This window comes from Homo sapiens, chromosome 11 (genome assembly GCF_000001405.40).
Source record: "Homo sapiens chromosome 11, GRCh38.p14 Primary Assembly".
NCBI classification, from domain to species: Eukaryota; Metazoa; Chordata; class Mammalia; order Primates; family Hominidae; genus Homo; species Homo sapiens.
Genome location: NC_000011.10, coordinates 10,030,401 through 10,051,438, shown reverse-complemented (window position 1 = coordinate 10,051,438; position 21,038 = coordinate 10,030,401). Strand labels below are relative to the sequence as shown.

The 21,038-nt window shown below is 34.8% G+C and overlaps 1 protein-coding gene across 11 annotated transcripts in view, besides 1 other annotated feature; it reads left to right on the top strand.

The window, feature by feature from the left end:
• The window catches only part of SBF2 (SET binding factor 2), a 526,174-nt gene that overhangs the window by 253,403 nt on the left and 251,733 nt on the right, over positions 1 to 21,038 (top strand). For all 11 annotated transcript variants that reach the window (NM_001425069.1, NM_001425070.1, NM_001424318.1 and 8 more), the window contains 2 exons: positions 8,458 to 8,595; positions 20,269 to 20,391. In NM_001425069.1, the coding sequence (NP_001411998.1) occupies positions 8,458 to 8,595; positions 20,269 to 20,391 (261 nt within the window). The remainder of the gene's footprint in view (positions 1 to 8,457; positions 8,596 to 20,268; positions 20,392 to 21,038) is intronic.
• Positions 6,072 to 7,271: an enhancer, noted in NCBI's record as "MED14-independent group 3 enhancer chr11:10065715-10066914 (GRCh37/hg19 assembly coordinates)". NCBI's record gives its function as "activates an origin of replication core promoter dependent on BRD2, BRD4, P300/CBP and CDK7 cofactors, and independent of MED14, by STARR-seq in HCT116 cells {active_cell/tissue: HCT116}" and the evidence as "EXISTENCE:reporter gene assay evidence [ECO:0000049][PMID:35650434]".

The following is a 21,038-nucleotide window of genomic DNA, read 5'->3' as shown; positions in this document are numbered from 1 at the left end:
TTGGAATTTCCCAAAAGTTTTAAGGGTAATACTTTTTTAATCACAGAATTATTCTTATAGTGTAAACTAACATATTTATGAGGCTATTTAAGTAACTAAGGTGGTCTTACTATCTAAACTCTCACATTCTTTTTCTCGATGTTATATGTTTATTATTTTCTATTAGGAGAAGGAATTTTCTTACAGGCTTTTTAAAAAGAGACACATTTAATTTAAATGTTATACATTAAAACATGGCTCAATAGCTAAACATTTATGGATGCAGATGAAGGTCTTGGGAAATATTGAAACCTATAATATTTCACCTTCAAGAGATCATTCAATTTAATCACAGTGCTATGGACATTTTTGTTATTCTGGTATATTTCTCTTATATTGTCTATATGTGCAAAGCATTTGAGAAAAATGGGCACATTAATAGTTATTTTTTCTAGTTTCAGGCAGCAAAATATCTGACTGCTCATTTAATAGATCTGCTGTAGTTTCCCCCTTACCCATGGTTTTGCTTTCTGTGGTTTTATTTACCCATGGTCAACTGAGGTCCAAAAATATTAAATGGAAAATTCCAGAAACAATTCATTGGTTTTAAATTATGCACCATCTGAGTAGTATGATGAAATCTCACACCATCCCACCTGGGATATGCATCATCCCTTTGTCCAGCTTATCCACACTGTATACACTATGCACCCATTAGTCACTTAGTAGCCATCTTATCTGATTTACCATCAGAAGGTCAATAGTAGCCTATAGCTATGTCACAATGTTTATGTCATTCACCTTTCATCTCATCACAGAGGCATTAAATCATCTCACATTATCATAAGAAGGGCAAGTATAATACAATAATACATTTTGAGAGAGACCCCATTCATATAACTTTTATTATAGTCTAATATCATAATTGTTATATTTTATTATTAGTTATTGTTCATCTCTTACTATGTATAACTTATAAACTAAACATCATTGTTATGTATGTATAGGAAAAAACATAGTACATATAGGGTTCCATATACATACATACATAGTACATACAGGGTTCGGTATTATCCACAGTTTTAGGTAACCACTGTGGGATCTTGAACATATCCTCCATGGATAAGAGGGGACTTATATGCCTATATGTATATGGTTATAAAAAGTTGCATTGTTATTTCTGTTAGGTAACTTCAATTTGAGAAGTCAAATATATTTGGTAGAATTAGAACTAAAATGAAGGGATTTTGTTTGTCCTTATTGAAAACCTGTAGTTTCTTTAAAGATGTGAAAATATGCAGTCATCATTCTCTAGTGTATGTTTTTTAGTACCATTTACCAAGCCTAGTGATTAGCTAATGATATGAATGACAGACTTCTATGAGAATGGGATTATTTGCTGTTAATTCACAGAACTGATTCACTTTTTATCAGAGGGGCAGTTTGTGGTGGTGGTAGAACTGATGATGCAGGCTGTATCGTTACATTATGTTATAACCTAAGCTCACATACTTCCTTCCTGATTCTGAGGCTCATTTTAGAAAATGATGTACCTTATTCACGAAAGAAGTTTGTTGAGAGAAAGTAAAAGGATTTTGAAAGATATTTTTGGCTTTTATTGTAGCCTGATAAAACTTTCCAGTTCTACCAAGGATTATACCGTTCTGCTACCCAAGTAGTTTAAGCCAAGGATAGTTACATGTTAACACCCATTCTCATTAAAATAGCAGTTCCCATACTTTTAGTCTCAGTACCCTTTATACTGTCACAAATTATTGAGAATTCTAAAAGAGTTTTATGTGGTTTTATCAATTCATTTATATATTAGAAATTACAACTAATTTTTTTTTTTAAGATGGAGTCTCTCTCTTGTTGCCCAGGCTGGAGTGCAATAGCGCGATCTTTGCTCACTGCAACATCCGCCTCCCAGGTTCAAGCGATTCTTCTGTCTCAGCCTCCCAAGTAGCTGACATTGCAGATATGTGCCACCACACCCAGCTAATTTTTATATTTTCAGTAGAAGTGGGGTTTCACCATGTTGGCCAGGCTGGTCTCAAACTTCTGACCTCAAGTGATCCACTCACTTCAGCCTCCCAAAGTGCTGGGGTTACAGGCGTGAGCCATCGCACCCAGCCACAACTAAAATAAAATTTTTTTTTAAATTTACCCACTTTTAAATAACAAAATCCCATTCCATGTTAACAAAAATACCATGTTTTTATGAAAAATAACCATCTTTTCCAAAACAAAAAAATACAGAAAAGAGTGATACTGTGTTACATTTTTGTAAATGTCTTTGATATTTGGCTTCATAGAAGCAGCTGGATTCTCATACCTGCTTTTGCATTCAAGCTCTTGTGATTTGATTTTTTTGGTTGAAGTATATGAAGAAAATCAAATCTCAAAAATATGTCATTGGAAGAGGAAGGAGTATTTAGTAGCTTTTTCAGATAATTACGGATACTTTTCTTTATATACTGCTCCAATATCCAATGAATAGTAGTTTCTTAAAGGTTAGTTACAGTGTGGAATTTGTAACCACATCTGTGAACTTTTCTTATGGTTACATTAAAATCTGTTGGTCTACTGGGCACTTTGAATGGATCTTTCACATGCATGATTTTATAATATCATGCACTGGTCATTTGACAAATATGGGTTTAGTGAGTTATATACAGCTTCCAAATATTGACACATGTCACTATATAATACTTAAAATATAAATTAACTAATAGTATGATAATATTTGTCATAGAAGTCTTAAAATATTACAAAACTCTCAGGTGCTTGAAAGCTCATATTTTATCATTGATAACAAATTGTCTTAGATCTTTATCTTGAAGTGACAGGCCCAGTTGATTTATGTTGAGAAAATGTCTGCCAAATACATGTCTGCCAAAATATGTTTGGCATATATAATGCCAGTTATAATGAAATTAAAATGTTTATTGCCTCATCAAGGGCCTTTTCAATTAAAACTGACTTTTTTATTGCAAATGTGCAGCTATAAAGAATACAGCAATTACTAGTATAGTTTGGTGCCACTGCTTTGATTCCTATTAAGACACAAGCAGTTTTACTCACAGTAAAGAAACAACCAATATCTTAGGTTTATTATGAAAATAATTTTGACATTGGGGACTCTTTTGATAGCTGCTATTCTAGAATAAAAAGGCTTATTGCAGTCACAAATAAGCCTGAGATATAGGGTTATGGAATTTAGTATAGATGGGTTGTTGAGAGAAAAATATGTGGATATCAAGGGCCAGTTTTTCATATCTGCAGCTTCCTGAGGGCTGACTGTGGGACTTGATTATCTGCAGATTTTGATATTAGTGAGGGGACCTGGAACCAATCCTCCACAGATACCAAGGGACACATAAAGATAATGATGTCGGCTTTTCTTTACCAGATTAGTATTAATAGATAAAAAGTTCTAGGGAAATATAGAGGAGGATAGGTTATTATTGTTGTTGTTATTCATAATAAAGATGGTTTTGGAGTATAGTAGAGGAACAGCGTGGCCTGATTCTTTGGTTTGGAGAGGGCGAGAGAAGCTAGGAAGTTTCAAAGAAGACTTCATAGAATAAATGATTCTTAAGTTATCAATAATATTTTGAATAAATTGCTATTTTAAACTAAATATGTAATAGAAATGTTTTTACTGATTTGCTAATTAAGGTACAGTTAAGCCTTTCTCTAGAGAAACTGTGAACATGATTAACATCCCTCTCCAAATGTAGGAAATCATGTCGATCTTACTTTTCTGATATCTCTAGACTCATACAAGGTAGGCAATGAGACAGTGAAAGGAGGAGCTAGTTTTGGAAAACGTCTGTACAAAAGAGGAAAATGTCAAAGAGATGGGGATAGAAACATGGGTTGGATCAAAGGGGGTAATGGTCATAATACCTAACATTTACGTCCACTGGATTATATGCCAGGGGCTTCTCTGAGCACTTTGCATGTGTATATAAGATCAGTTGAAGGTATTTGTGTAGTCTACTTCGGGCTCTCTATTCTGTTTTGTTGATCTCTTTGCCTATTCTTTTGCCAGTATCACACTGTCTTGTCTACTATAGCTTCCTGGTAGGTCTCAAAGTTTGGTAGTGTCAGTCCTCCAGCTGTTTTTCTCCAATATTGTATTGGCTATCCTGGATCTTTTGCCTCTCTTTATAAACTTTAGGATCATTTTGTTAATATCCATAAAATAACTTGCTGGGATTTTTGTTGGAATTATGTTGAATCCTTGGGTCAAAGTGGGACAAACTGACATTTTGTCAGTATTGAGTCTTCCTATCCATGAACATAGAATCTCTCTTCATTTATTTAGTTCTTTGATTTCTTTCATCAGAGTGTTATAGTTTTCCTTATATAGATCTTTTGCGTATCTTGTTAGATTTATACCTAATTATTTGGTTTAGTGGAGTGCTAATGTAAATGGTATTATATTTTTGCCTCAAATTCCACTTACTTCTGACATAAAGGAAAAGTGGTTGATTTTTGTATATTAACTTTGTATCTTAGAACTTGTTTTTAATTGCTTATTAGTTCCAGGGATGGGTTTTTTTTTTTTTTTTGTCCTTTCAGATTATCTGTTTACACAATCATGTCATCTGTGAACAAAAGCAGTTTTGTTTCTTTCCTCCCAATATATATACTTTTTATTTTTTTCATTTTATTGCGTTAACTAGGACTTGTAGGATAATATTGAGAAGCAGTGGTGAAAGGGGCATCCTTACTTTATTCCCCTGATCATTCTTGGAAAGCTTTGAGTTTTTCAGCATTAAGTATGGTACTAGCCATAGGAGTTTTTTTTTTTTAAAAGATATTCTTTATCAAGTTGAGGAAGTTTCCCTCTACTTCTAGTGTACTGAGGCTGTTTATCATCAATAGGTATTGGATTTTGTCAAATGCATTTTCTGCATCTATTGGTATGATCACATGATTATTATTCTTTAGCCTGTTGATACGATATAATGCTTTAATTGATTTTTGAATGGTTAACCAGCCTTGCATGCCTGGGATGAATTCCACTTGGTCATGATATTATTTTTATTCATTGTTGAATTCAACTTGCTAATATTTTTGCTTTTATGTTTATGAGCAATATTGGTCAATAATTTTTATTTCTGTAAATGTCTTTATCTGGTTTTGGTATTAGTATAGTGCTGGCCTCATAGAATGAAGAAGGTATTCCCTTTGCTTCTGTTTTCTGAAAGAGGTTGCAGATAATTGGTATACAGTTGTCCTTTGGAATCTGCAGGGGATTGGTTCCAAGAATCCCCCACACATACCAAAATCCGAGGATGTTCAAATGTTTTATGTTAAATGGTGTGGTATGTGCATATAACCCATGCATATCCTCCTGTATATTGTAAATCATCTCTAGATTACTTATACCTAAGACAATGTAAATGTTATGTAAATAGCTACTATCCTGGATTTTTATATATGCTATTTTTATAGTTGTATTGTTATTTTTCTTTTTTTTTCAAATATTTTTGATCCGTGGTTGGTTGAATCCACAGATGTAGAACCCACAGATACAGAGGGCTGACTGTAACTTCTTCCTTAAATGTTTAAAAGAATCCACCAGTCAATCCATCTGGGCCTGGTGCTTTCTGTTTTGGAAAGTTATTAATTATTGATTCAGTTTCTTTAACAATATAGGACTATGCTGATTGTCCATTTCTTGTGTGAGTTTTGGTAGATTGTGTCTTTCAAGAAATTGGTACATTTCTCTACATTGTCAAAGCTGTGGGCATAGACTTGTGCATAATATTCATTGATTATCCTTTAAAAGTTCATGGGAACTTTTGTGTGGAGGAAAAGTTAAATATTAAATTTGAACTCAATTGAACGTGGACACAAACAATGGTCACCAAGTCCTGGCACAGGTTGTGTGAGCCCCTTCAGGCGTTCGTCCAGCACTGTTTCAGAGAAATCTCTATTTCAATCTATTCCTATACCTTGGTTTTTGAAAAGCAATAGGCCGGGTGCAGTGGCTCATGCCTGTAATCCCACCACTTTGGGAGGCCAAGGCGGGTGGATCACTTGAAGTCAGGAGTTCAAGACCAGCCTGGCCAACATTGCAAAACCCCATCGCTACTAAAATACATGAATTACCTGGGCATGATGGCGGGCACCTGTAATCCCAGCTACTCAGGAGGCTGAAGCAGGAGAATCACTTGAACCCAGGAGGCGGAGGTTGCAGTGAGCCAAGATCGTGCCACTGCACTCCAGCCTGGGCGACAGAGCAGGACTCATCTCAAAAAAAAAAAAAAAGAAAAGCAATAGATAGTCACAAAAACAAGTTGACCTTTTTGTGTTCCTTGAGTCCAGTCACGAAGGGCCTTCATGACTGGACCTCCTGCCAAACAACTCGTTACAAAAACAGCTAGGGTCCCACACTGTGCTGAAGCTTCATGAGACCTCTCTTTGTCTGTGCACAGACAAGTGGCTGACTATAGAGCCCAGGCTGTTGCTTCCCAGTCTAGTGGTTGTTAGAAACAAGTGCTTGGTGCTGCAAAGTGAAACCAGCACTCAGGCAAAAAGCGTTCTCAGCAAGGCAATTTACTTCTGCAGAAGGGTGCTCCCTGCATCAGCCACGATCACAAGAGCACACTGAACAAATAGGGTAGATGCACAATTCGCAAGGGAGCGGGTAGAAGTGGTTCTTCTGCTATGGCACAAGACGTGTCTGGACATGTCTGGGCAAGTTAGGGCACAGCAAGAGCAGGAGGGCTGCTTGCAGGCTAAAAATGAGAAAGTACAAGAAGGTGGGGCCTTTGAACCAAGGACATTACACAATTAAACCCTTTGAAGAGGAATTCACCACCTCTGGCATGGTGAATCCTCCATAGTCTGGTGAGTGCAGTGTCCAACTCTGGAGCCCAGACTGTTGCTTCCCAGTCTGGTGGTGAATCCTCCATAGTCTGGTGAGTGTAGAGACATTTATCTCTTTTCCCTTCTCCCCTTTGCGTTGCAATTTGCTTATTATATCATTTGCTTATTTTATTACTTTGCTTATTATATAATTTGCTTATTATATCTACATTGCCATTTACATGGGATAAAGCTTGTTTACCTTTAAAGGTATTGTGTGTGTGCCTTTTCTTCTCCTCTTGCGGGTCTCCCGCCCAGAACAATCTGTACTGATATCCCGTCTTTCATTTCATTTGTTAGTAATTTGTGCCTTTTTTTTTTTTTCTTAATTAGCCTGGCTAGAGGCTTATTGAGCTTTTCAAAGAAGCAGCCTTTTATTTTATTGATTTTTCTCTACTGATTTTCTGTTTTCAGTATCATTGATTTCAATTCTAACTTTTATTTTCTTTATTTGCTTACTCTGGATGTAATTTGCTCTTCTTTTCTAGTTTCCAAAGGTCAAAGCTTAGTTTACTGACTTTAGATCTTTCTTCTTTTCTAATATGTGCATTCAATGATAGAAATTTTTCTATAAGCACTGCTTTCATCACATCACACAAATTTTGATGTTTTATTTTCATTTTCAGTTAGCTCAAAATATTTTTTAAATTTCTCTTGAGATTTCATCTTTGACTCATGTTATTTAAAAAGTATTGTTTGGCTGGGTGCAGTAGCTTATGCCTATAATCCTGGCACTTTGGGAGACTGACACAGGAGAATTGCTTGAGCCCAGGAGTTCGAGACCAGCCTGGACAACATGGAAAGACCCTTTCTCTACAAAATAAAAAATATTAGCCAGATATACTGGTAGGCACCTGTAGTCCCAGCTACTCAGGAGGCTGAGATGGGAGAATCGCCTGAGCCCAGGGGGTTGGGGTTAAAGTGAGCTGTGATCATGCCACTGCACTGCAGCCTGGGTGATGAAACAAGACCCTATCTCAAAAAAAAAAGAAAGTGTTGTTTAACCTGCAAGTATTTCTGGATTTTCCAGCTATCTGCCTGTTATTGATTTCTAGTTTAATTCTGTCATGGTCTAACAGCAGACATTCTATGATTCCTCTTTTTTAAATTTGTTGAAGTATGTTTTATGGACAAGAATGTGGTCTGTCTTGCTGAACAAGATATCTCTTTTTTTGTAATGAATTGAAGACTCTCAGATTCATATGGAAATTTAAAAATAATTCTATTTTCCCTCAATGATACATATTTTGCCCTTGATTTCTAATGTATTCCATGATTTGTTCTCATAGTTGGGGGATGTCTTTAATTTTGATGCGGTATTCCTACATAGGCCTACCTGGGTCTCAGAAATGGCACCCAGAGTGGCAACTGTGGGAAATCGAGGCTATCTTCATGAAATATATATGCACATTGGTGAAAGTTTTCACCATTATGAATCTGTACATTAACTTTTTTTTAAATGTTGGCTTTAGACTCATACCACATCAGGTAGGAATTTGTTAAAATGGGCAAACATTTAAAATTTCTCAGAGATTAATAATTAACTTTTATTGTTTTTAAATGTTACATTTTTTTTTCTATTTCATTTAGTTTTGTCAGCCTGGCGGGTGGCAGCTGTCCAGAGAGAGGAAGCAGCCAACGTTCTTTGTGGTTGTCCTGACAGACATTGACTCAGATCGACATTACTGCTCATGCCTAACCTTCTATGAGGCAGAGATCAATCTTCAGGTACAAAAACCTTTACTAGCTAAAGTACAGTCGAAGGTACAACATTTAGGAATGTTTTTTATATGCCATATTTTTGTTACAACTGCAAGTTTGAGTTTTATGGGCTAGCATAAGAAGCATGAAGAAATTTTTATGTTTAAGGTTGGAGAGGAGAGCAACATGTTAAAATTACTTTCCAGATTTAATTGTCCTTTTTCAAAACATTGATCATAATCTGAATATTTCTAAAAATAGTGCATCCTTGAATTGGTTTATTAAGAATATTAATTTCTTCTCTTGGTGAACCTGTGATTTTCCCTGCCAGCCCTTCTCCTGGGAGGTCTTTCATAGAATGTGGAACATTTACTCACAATGTTTGCAAATCATTATTACAATGCTTGACATTATTGTTTAAGCACCCAAATGTTAACTCATTCTTCTTAGGGGTGGTATTATCAACATGATCAGGCAGAAATTCATAAGCTAGAACTATGAAGACATATAAAATAATTGCTCTTTCAGACTATTGGTTGAGGTTCTTAGTTTCACATTACTGGCTCTACTTTCTCTAAGCAGAAAGGAGTCATAACAAAGTATTTGGCAACTTGTGAAATTTTAGGGGTGAGGGACAAGCAGGGAACCAATTCTGGGTACTAGGAACAGCCCAGCTTGGTGCTATTCTCATAGAAACCATATTCCTTCCACCTTTTACCACTTGGCACTTACAATGCTGGGTATATATCAGACATTATAACCTTCACCATAGTTGTGCTAGAATATCCATTCTCCTGCAGATATTCACACTGCTGACTTCTGCTTTAGTCTCATACTGCTGACTTCTGCTTTTAAGTTTTACATGAGTTGTTTCTTTGGTGGAAGTTAAGATTGTATACAGAGCCCATTTTGCCCCAAAAAGTGTAGGGTTTTTTTTGTTGGTGCTGGTGGTGGTGGTTTTTCTTTCCAGGCTCTATAATACAAGAAGGAAACCATAAAGGGGACTTCGAAGATATTGAGTAAGCCAGTTTGCATAATCTACTGTAGTTTCTGCTACGTATAGAGTATCATCACTTGGGGGAAAAGATTGGCCTGCTTTCTGAAATGGCTTAACAAAGGAGTATTTGGTAGTTTTGATTATGTTTATTAAACTCTAAGATCTGAATTTTCTGGATGCAGAAATCTGATTTTTGAGTACAAGAAGAGACAAATTACCTTTCATGATGCAGACTCATTATTCAAGTTCATTAGACTGATGTGTTAAAACTAACATGCTAGACTACTAATTTATAGGAAATGTGAAAAGTGCTGAAAATGCATATAGAACAAAACATGCATTATCAGCACATTGTCTTCCTGTCACCAGATCTTAGTAGAAAGCCATATCAAAGTCCGGAGTTTTGATTATGGAATCAAACCGATATTTGATGTTAAATACTTAAAGACTATCAGACTAACATAGCCTGTTGCTTCTATTTGAAGTTAGAGATTACTGTATGTTATCAATGGGGACAGAAAACTTTCAGTCTGTGACTTTAAGTCTCCTCTCCCCTGGATAATGTTTGGATATATGTTGCCAACAAATAGCTAATCAAATTCTCATTTTTATCAGTTCAATCTGAATAAGTTAGAGAGTGTTCTCTAGCCCAAGAACCACTCTGTCTCTTTTATTGGCCTTTCGTTTCTCTGTTGATCTTTAGCATTTAAGTTAATGCTGAGAATTCAGTATATTCTGTTATTTCCATATTCTTGAGGGTATCGCTTCACAACTCTTTGGAATTATCTAATGAAACTAACTATAATTATTTAGATTCTCCCTCTTCACTATTCACCCCTCTTCTTCTAGACAAACTGACAGAAAGGCAATATATTGACATTATATTAATGGCAGATGTTTATAAATAGGTTCTAGGAATTCTTGGGTATTTTTCAAACTTTTAATTTGGAAATAATTTTAAACTTACAGAAAAGTTGCAAGAATAATGCAAACATGTATATAGCCTTTACCCATATTCACCTGTTGTTAATATTTTGCCCCATCGTTTTATTTGAGGTCTTTCTTCCCTACCCTTCTTTCCTCTCTTTATCCCTTCTTCCCTCTTCCCCTCTCTCCTCTCCCCATCTCCCCCATACACACACACACCTAAATTCTTTAGTATATGCTTCAGAGGTACATGAACAGTACGTAAACAGTACAGTTATCAACCTCAGGAAATTTAACATCAATATAATAAAACCTACTATCCATATTCCAGTTTTGTCATTTGATCTAATAGTGTCCTTTATAGCACCCCCCCATCCCTTTTTTCTTCCAGTACAGGATCTAGTACATACTACATATATTGCATTTAGTTTTTATTTCTCTTTCGTCTCTTTTCATCTGGAATACTTGTGCTGCCTTTGTCTATAATGTTGACATTTTTAAATAATGTAACTTCTCACCCCCCATTTTTAATACAATGTTTCTTATTTTCTGTTTTCCAGTATCTCTCATTGTTAGTTTCAGGCTGTGTCAACAGTTGGAATATTACCTGTGTTCCTTCTAAGGGCATCCTTCTAAGAGTACACATCCGGAAGTCCACAATGCCTGTCTGTCCCTCACTGATGATGTTAATTTTGGTAACTTGGTCAGATGATTGTCAGATTTCTCCACTTCATAGTGGCGATTTTTATGTTTGCAATTAATAATCAGTCTACTAGAAGACACTCTAACACTATGCAAATATCCTACTGTTCATCAATCATGTTCCCCTAGATTTCAGCATTTACTAATGATTCTTGCCTATAGCAATTTTGATTCTGATAACAAAAAATGATTATTTTCTAACTCCATACTCCCTCTATTTTTAGCAGTCAGCAGTCGACCTTTTACTATAAGCAGGAACTCTCTCTTCCTGTCTGTTTGAGCTACAGATACATGGATTCAGGTTTTTTTTTTGTCAATAATATGTAAATCATTAATGGTTTTTATTATTTTAATGCACAAATTATCCCATATTTGACCAGCGTGCACCACTCAGACAGATTCCTGTGTTCTTTTCACAGATCTCCTTTTAGAAAAAGTACTTTTTAACTTTTCATCATAACAAGTTGATCTAGGATCATTTTATTCCTTCCCTGCCTCTGCCTTGAAATCAGCCATTTCTTCAAGGAGTCTGACTCCTTTGAATAGGGAATAATATTAGAAGCTAAGATCTGGGTTCTTGTATAGTTTGAATCCATATGTCAAGAAGTTATTTCTCTTTTTAGCTTAGATATTTTCCTACTTGCCATTTTAAGTGGGCCCAGAAATCATAATTTATTTGTTACGATCACCTTACAAAAGGTTACAGTCTGCTTCATATCAGTTTTTCCAAGATTTTGAAAATGCGGATAGGTTGTGAGAATTCCGGATTCTATATAATTGTACTTAGGTACTAGCCAGAATTGTAAGACCACTTTTCTGGAAACATAAGTTAATGTCTTTTGGGCTTGGTGGAAAAGAGGGATAAACAATGAAGCAGAATTTGAAAAAAAAATAGAACCCAGAAGATGTTTCTTTCTTGTCATCAGTAAAGTTGTTTTCATTTTTGGCATGAACTGTTTATGTCCCTTTAAAAATGTGTTTTTCTTTTCTTTTTGGATCATATCATCAGTTCAAAATAGATCTTTTAATTCTTTTTTGGTGTGAATTACTTCATACCAAATATACTATGACACATTATTTGGAAGCCTAAAGAGGGGGAACTTAGGGACATACACCATCCAGAATGTGATTGTGCAACTTTAAAAATGTTAGCTCTGTTATCTTTCCAAGATACAGTAACACTGTCAGTAATCATAAGCAAAACTTGGCATTAAACTTTTGATAATATGTTCCCAAAATTACTCAACTAGGTAATGTGATCCTAAATTTTTTTAAGTAATCAGCAAAATATGATAGATTTACATTGACTTTTATTACTTATCTAAATAATCATTTGATTATCTTAAAATATGTTAAAAGTATAAAATTTTAAATATCTAAAATTTAAATTTAGTTCTATATCTTTTTAAAGTTATTTCATATGTTTATATACTTGTCTCTGAATCAGTGGTAATTATGCAGTTCTCAGTGAGAACATTTGGTGTGTCATCAAATTGTCATCAAAGAAAGAGAGAGGGAATGAATTTTGTAATTTCGAGAGATAAGAGGAGGAAAAAAGAGGGAGAGACATAGAAGACATAAGATACGTTTCTCCATCACAGTGGGCTTCAAATCTAGCTTGGGAAGCAGAACCAAAACTTAAGTACAAAACCATTCCAAAGTATCATATGCTAAGTATCATTCAGTGAAACAGATAATAATTGCAGACTAGGCAACTGGAATAAATCATACAGAGTTTAAAAGACTCAGTGGACATTTTAATAAGAGCTAACACCTAGAGTAAGGGAAAGAAAAAGGACAATTCAAACAAAAAGCTTGTGCAAAGGAAAAAAGATTGTAGTGCTTATGATAAATTAAAGTCTTATGTTCTGGGTACTGTGCTAAAAGTTTTACAACACTTTATTTCATTCTATTTTATTTAACTCACATATAGTTTATTCTCACAAAACACCATTTGATAGGTTTTAACATTTCCATTTTACAGATGAGGCTTACTTAGGGACATTCAGTACCAAGTTAAAGTGCTTGATTGATTCTGTCTCCAAGGACCAAATAATAACCACATATACTACAAAGCTGCAAAAATTGTATCAGTGTGCTATAGGTTCAAGAATTAAGTGTCAAGGGTAAAAACAATTATGGGAACAAAACCAATACTCCAGAAGCAGACCCTATTGTGTATAGGAGATCAGTGTCCAACAATAGAAGCTTTATAAATCAATGGAATGTGTGTATTTCAACAAATATTATTTAAACAGTTGATGAGCTATTTGAGAAAAGAAAAAAATTTAAACATAGTATCATATAATTAATTCCAAGCAGTTAAGTAATTACCTGGAAAATGGAGTAATAAAAAGGAATTTATAAATTCGTCTCTAGATGGTATAAAACAGTGGAGAAAACCACACACAAAACAGTGTATAGATTTAGCTGAAGTACTACAACCCAATCATTTTTGGTACTCCCCCACCCCCACCATCCCGCTCTTTATCATAGTAAACTATGCTCATTGTAGAAGACATAGAGAGAACATGCAGGAAAAAATTTGAGAGAACAGAAAAAGATGGTTTGACATATTTTCTTCCAATAATAAGGATTTTTTTTTTTTAACAAAAGTTGCTGTACACTAGTTGACCATATAGGTAGGTTTAATTAATCCCCTGATGGACATGTATTTCCTGTTTTGTCAATATTATGAATAACTGTGATGAATATCTCATTGGAAAAACCTTAGTTCCTTCAAGAAGGGTTTAGTCCCAGGTAATCCAACTCTTTGAACTAAAAATTCGAAATAGCAGTATTTGGGAATTGGGCTTGCTGATATTGTAATCAACTTTACACTTGGTAGCATTCTAGAGACTAATTCTTAGGTCTTATTCAACAAGACTAGACTTTGTTAGAGTCTGGTGAAAACTAGCATGCGTAACATAATTCACACAGAGAAAAAATTGGGAGACTTGTGTATTCTGAGTTTATTCTATAGTTTGATAATTTACAACTTTGCAAGTATCCACATGGGATTCTCCTTAGAGTATCGATGCTGAAGATTATGTCTTTTACCAAAGAATCTGTCTTCTCCTCCCCTTTTGAAAATGAGAATTGGCAAATGGACAGAATGCTGAATCTTAACAGTCCCCTTGATGTCCCTCACAGATGTATTTTGTAGGGAAAAACTGTCACTGGATTAACTATGATTAATTGGTGCAACATGCTTAAAATGATATAAGACTTTAAAACAACAGGAGAAACTTTTGGGATTAAGTTTCCAGAATCCTTCAACATCAAATACCTTTTCTTAAATTTTGACAACTATTTCAGGCTAGGAAGGGCTGCAGTGAGAACTGTGTATTGTTACTATTTCATTTTAAAACAAAAATTACTACATTCAAATATAATTAAAGGAAAACAAACCTGAACATCTTTTCAAATTGACAGTTTGGCGTCTCAGATGTTATCTTTCCTAAACAGCTTATTTTAACTAATATGTTATTTCTTATAAAGGTTACATATAAGAGTATAGGATACTGGAAAGAGAAGTAGCTTAAGAGAAGACTTGGCTTGTTAATCCCACTTATGCCTTTAATGATCTGTATGACCTTGGCAAGTCATTTCATCCCTCTGGGCATGTGATTACTGATTTATAAAATGAAGTAGGTAGCATAGATTTTAAATATCTTCCACTACTGTATTATTTTTCTTATTCTGTCATGTTAACTATATCTGATTTTAAAGATATATTTTAATATTGTTCATAGCAGATATACTTTAAATTATGTCCCGCAGAATACTATTGCAAGTCATCTTCTGAATAAAGTATACTTTTATTTTTTTTAAGTATACTTTAAGTTCTGGGGTACATGTGCAGAACATGCAGTTTTGTTACATAGGTATACATGTGCCATGGTGGTTTGCTGCACCCATCAACCTGTCATCTACATTAAATATTTCTCCTAATGCTATCGCTCCCCTAACCCCACTACCCACTGACAGGCCCCAGTGTGTGATGTTCCCCGCCCTGTGTCCATGTGTTCTCATTGTTCAACTCCCACTTATGAGTGAGAACATGCGGTGTTTGGTTTTCTGTTCTTGTGTTAGTTTGCCGAGAATTATGGTTTCCAGCTTCATCCATGTCCCTACAAAGGACATGAACTCATCCTTTTTTATGGCTGCATAGTATTCCATGGTGTATATGTGCCACATTTGCTTAATCCGATCTATTATTGGTGGACATATGGGTTCATTCTAAGTCTTTCCTATTGTGAATAGTGTCACAATAAGCATACGTGTGCATGTGTCTTTATAGTAGAATGATTTATAATCCTTTGGGTATACACCCAGTAATGTGGTGGCTGGGTGAAATGGCATTTCTAGTTCTAGATCCTCAAGGAATCGCCACACTGTCTACCACAATGGTTGAACTAGTTTTCACTCCCAACAGTGTAAAAGCATTCCTGTTTCTCCACATCCTCTCCAGCATCTGTTGTTTCCTGACTTTTTAATGATCACCATTCTAACTGGTGTGAGATGGTATCTCATTGTGATTTTGATTTGCATTTCTCTGATGACCAGTGATGATGAGCATTTTTTTCATGTCTTTTGGCTGCATAAATGTCTTCTTTTGAGAAGTGTCTGTTCATATCCTGTGCCCACTTGTTGATGGGGTTGTTTGTTTTTTTCTTTTAAATTTGTTTAAGTCCTTTGTAGATTCTGGATATTAGCCCTTTGTCAGATGGGTAGATTGCAAAATTTTTCTCCCATTCTGTAGGTTGCCTGTTCACTCTGCTGATAGTTTCTTTTGCTGTGCAGAAGCTCTTTAGTTTAATTAGATCCCATTTGTCAATTTTGGCTTTTGTTGCCATTGCTTTTGGTGTTTTAGACGTGAAGTCTTTGCCCATGCTTATGTCTTGAATGGTATTGGCTAGGTTTTCTTCTAGGGTTTTTATGGTTTTAGGTCTTACGTTTAAGACTTTAGGCTGGGCGTGGTGGCTCATACCTGTAATCCCAGCACTTTGGGAGGCCGAGGTGGGCAGATCACGAGGTCAGGAGATCGAGACTATCCTGGCTAACACGGTGAAACCCCATCTCTACTAAAAATACAAAAAAAAAGAAAAAATTAGCCAGGCGTGGTGGCGGGTGCCTCTAGTCCCAGCCTCTCAGGAGGCTGAGGCAGGAGAATGGCATGAACCCAGGAGGTGGAGCTTGCAGCGAGCGGAGATTCTGAACTGAAGACTAGAGGCCTAGTTTGTTTGAAGGCTTGTTATCCTAAAATGTGTATTTCTTATGCATTCATTATTTCCCAGACCAATGAAAGGGCAAACCTGGTTTGATCATGTAGACATGTCAACTTGATTAAAAGATTATTTGGCAAGAAATGAAGGGTTCAGGAGGAATTTTAGAACTTACAGAATTTTGCAACTACTTAGGCTCCATTATTTCCAATTCTGGAAAATTTTTAAGTTCTTAAATTGCTTTACTGAGACAATTCTATATAATGGTATACTTGCTATATATTACATTTCAGAAAGGAAATTTAGGACTGAAAATTTTTTACTTGTGGAATTAATTTTATCCTCCTTTTATAACTGATTATTTAAGAAATGCTGCGGGAAGATTTTTAGTGTGATACAGTATTGTTAAAAATGAACATAGCACAGAGAAGATGTTGGATGCAACAGTTCTTTAAGGATAAAAGGGTCAGGACTTGACAGTTATTTTGATATTAAAATTAAGCATCAAGATACAACAAAGATGAGGCTGAAGTGTTCAACCTGAATGGTAGGATAAACTTCCTTAAAGCTTGTGCTGATCTGCTACATCAAGTTATTGCGTGCAATCAGCAATCTAGTACTTTTTGTCTCAGGATATGTTTTAAGAGCAGTAGCACTTTTAGGCCAGATTGATATGGTGAGTACTAATTTATCCCATATTATTGAAGCACAGAGATGATGAACTACACATAAGTTACACAGAAGCTGGGAATCACTAGCAGATGTAATCCATAGTAGTAATTGGTAGGCAAAGATATCTACAAATGGGCAAGTTGTGGCATGTGATTATTATATGTATTGACCTTGTAAGTCAATGTGAGATATTTAGTAAACAGTGTTTAAGATAAATTTGTATCTTTAATGAGACCTACTAAAAGCAAGGAATAATCTTTAAGTGGCCAATTTAATGAGAAGAAATAATCTTAAGTTGGCAAAGCCTTTAAAATATTGTTCAGCTGGATAAAATATGTGAAACTTTTGTAGTATAAAATATTAAATTTAGCATTATTAGAATATCTCATATTCATAGACTATGTTTTGAATTTCCTGCTTATTTTTAAGTTTTTCACATCTTTCCAATGGGTGAAAATCTGTCATTGTAAAACACACACCAAATAAAACTAGTGTCATTTTATAATTATTACATAGAATACATCTAGCAGCTATATAGAAGAGGGAGTATTCCTCTGACATGATAAATTATTTCTAGAAAAATTTTATCAAAAATGTCACATTACCATTCTAGAACAAACTTTATTTTACCTAATAAATTTGGGGTTTATTTGTTGTGTGTGTGTGTGTGTGTGTGTGTGTTTAATCACAGCAGTACATTTTGCTTTAAAAGCAGAAATAAGAATTTTTTCTCTAAACTTAGGACATTGCATTCTTATAGGAGAGATATTGAAATTAAGAACTAAGAATATTTTAGGATTTGTAGCACATTTACAAAGGAAAAGTCAACATCGTAATAAAAAGTGATATAAATTAAAATTATTTTTTACTTAATACTGATTTTCACTCTATTGGACCTTTTTCTTTCTCGTTAATAACTATTCCTTTTGGTGAGTGTTTAATTGAAGAGCAGCTTTAAGAAATGACCAATGCATTCTATTTTGTGTTTTGGTCAAAGTTAGTAAATGGTCATATATTTGAAATGGTTATCTACTTACTCTAGCTGGCTTCTAATGGTACTCTAGGGCATTTATCACAATCTCATAAAATGTGGATAGCTTTATCTCTTCCAAGAATTTTAGTCATTCTTTTGTCATTTTGAATTAGTTAGTAATCCATGAAGAATATGATTCATTAAGTGTGGAAATCTTTGGTGAATTCATATTCATCACATTTTTATTATTTCTAAGGATTCCAGAAACCAACCAACCTAATTTTTGTTTTTGCTTTGTAATAAATGAAAATCTTTCAAGAGCATATGGACTCTATCATACATACAAAAACTAAACAGATAGTTCCCTTTGGATGTGCACATTCCACAGACATCTAATACTTGGTTATATTGCATTGTACTAGAAACTAAATGAGCTCTAAAGGAAGTAGAAAATATAATTATTGGCCTCTATGAATAGGGGGGAAAAGACTTCCCTTGATAAAATGCTCAAAAAACTATGCCAAGAAAATGTATTCATGCATGTATGCAATGAATAAATATTAAGTATCAGCTATGGGCCTAGCCCTTATTTTAGGAACTGGGAAATCACCGTTGAACAAAACAGAAATCCTGGCCTTTATGGGAGCATGTGCTAGTGCAGTTGACAGACAAACTAAAAAACAAGATAAGTGAAATAGATAAATATGTTGGATAGTAACAAATGCCATGGAGAAAAATAAAGCAGAGAAAGTGGGTAGAGAGTGTTAGGGCATTGCAGTTTTAAATAACATTGTCAGCAAAAGCTTATTAGAGCAGAAGATGCTTGAATGAAAACTTAAAAGTGATGAGGAACTAAGTCATTAGAATATCTGTGGAAAGAGTATTTAGGCAAAGGAATAACACAGAAGCGCATAGAGCAGTGGATGGGAGCATGCCCAGTGTGTTTAAAGAGCAGCAAGGAAGCAAAGTGGGGCTAAAGAAGAATAAAGGAGATGAAGGGAGGCTGTTAGAGTAATCCACACAAGAGATTATAGTAGCTCACAGCGTTATGGTAGCAATAGAGGAGGTAAGAAATCAGGGTTTGTTGACAGTGGGATATAGGTTATTAAAAAGAGGGGAATCACGATTTTGGGTTTGTTAAGCGGGAGAATCATATTTTGTCAAGTTTATTAACCAGTGTTTAGTTATTGAAACTTATGTATTGTTTTAAGCGTTTTTTATTGTGGTAAAATATATATGTATAAGATTTGCCATTTAGCCATTTTTAAGTATTCAGTTCAGTGGCATTAAGTACTTTCTGAAATTCAGTTTTGTATGTAAAAATGTTCTCTCAGCCAAGCATGATGGCTCACACCTATAATCCAGCACTTTGGAAGCATAAGGCAGGAGCATCACTTGAGCTCAGTAGTTTGAAACCAGCTGGGCAACATAGGGAGACCCTGCCTCTACAAAAAACAAAAAATTAACCTGGCGTGGTGGAGTGTGCCTATGATTCCAACCACTTGGGAGGCTGAGGTGGGAGGATCCCTAACGCCCAGAAAGTTGAGGCTGCAGTGCACTGTGATTGTGCCACTGCCCTCCAGCCTGGGCAACAGAGCAAGACCTTGTTTCAAAAACGGAAACAGAGTTCTCTTTTCTCAAAATATCAGCATTGTTGCTTATGAACAAAAGCAATTTAGAGCCGATTGTGCTTTACTGCCAAGAGCATTGAGCACCAAGCATTCTGCAAGCCTTAGAATCCTTGTTTGAGACATTGAGACAAGTAGAAAAACCAACATGAAAATTAGTGTCATATTTGCAAAACATCTTCTTTTGAAAACTGACTTCATTTAAATATCATTTTTTAACTTTTCATCTAAGTGAGTATAATTTTTAATTGGGTCACTATTTAAAATAATTTGAGCATGTCTTATTTGCCCTTGATTCACTCAGAAAGGAAATGCTCAAATAAAGTTGTGTTATATGTCTGGAGCTTAAGGAGCTTTTCAAAAATGAAATAAGTATTCCCGGCTTCATAATTTGTCTACTTTACTTTTAGAATGCTCTTAAAGTCTATTCTTTATTTGTAGTTTGATTTTTAAAATTATATTATAATTAATTTTGAATTTGCATAAGTTATATTTAAGGTGATATTCATCTTTTGTGAATTATGAACCTAGGAAATCCCTTCTGTTTGTTGATTTCAGTGTCTCTTTTTCTAGGGAACAAAGAAGGAAGAGATTGAAGGTGAAGCAAAAGTGTCTGGTTTAATTCAGCCTGCAGAAGTGTTTGCTCCCAAAAGCCTGGTGTTGGTATCCAGATTATATTATCCAGAAATTTTTAGGGTAAAGAACACATAGTTATCATTATTAATTTGTATTATTGTGTGAGTCTCTTGAATGAACCATGGTACAAGTTCTTTGGATTGAAAATATTGTTAGATTGATTTAGGAATTCATCTATGAAATACAGTTAGCATGAACAGAAGAAATATTTTCATGTTGGGTGAAATAAATACCTGAATAAGTTAATGTGACTACTAAAACTTCTAAGGATGTAGTGTTTGTTTTAAAATAGGTCCCACATTTATTGAATCCAGAATGTATACATCCTAAAGAAATAATTTGATTACCTGTAGTAAATGTAAATGCATGAGTGATTTAACAAATTCGTGTATGTATATTCACCTTGTGAGGAATCAGGTTCAAGTAAATAGGGTGGGTGTTTGAGATTTCAAACAATTCTGATCATACTTCTGTCAAAATAGTCTTAAAATATTGCTTCCAGGTATTTTCTTGTTTTAGAAACACAGAATTTTCAAACATAAGAGGAAATTTTTATTCATTTGTAAATATTTGTGCTAAGATACAATTTCTGTAAAACTTTTCTAGAAATTGAGATTATTTGTGTTATAAAAGAATTAAATTAGTGTCAAGATTTCAATGACAATGCGTAACTCCAAGCAAATACTAAGTTTTCAGAGTCACAAATT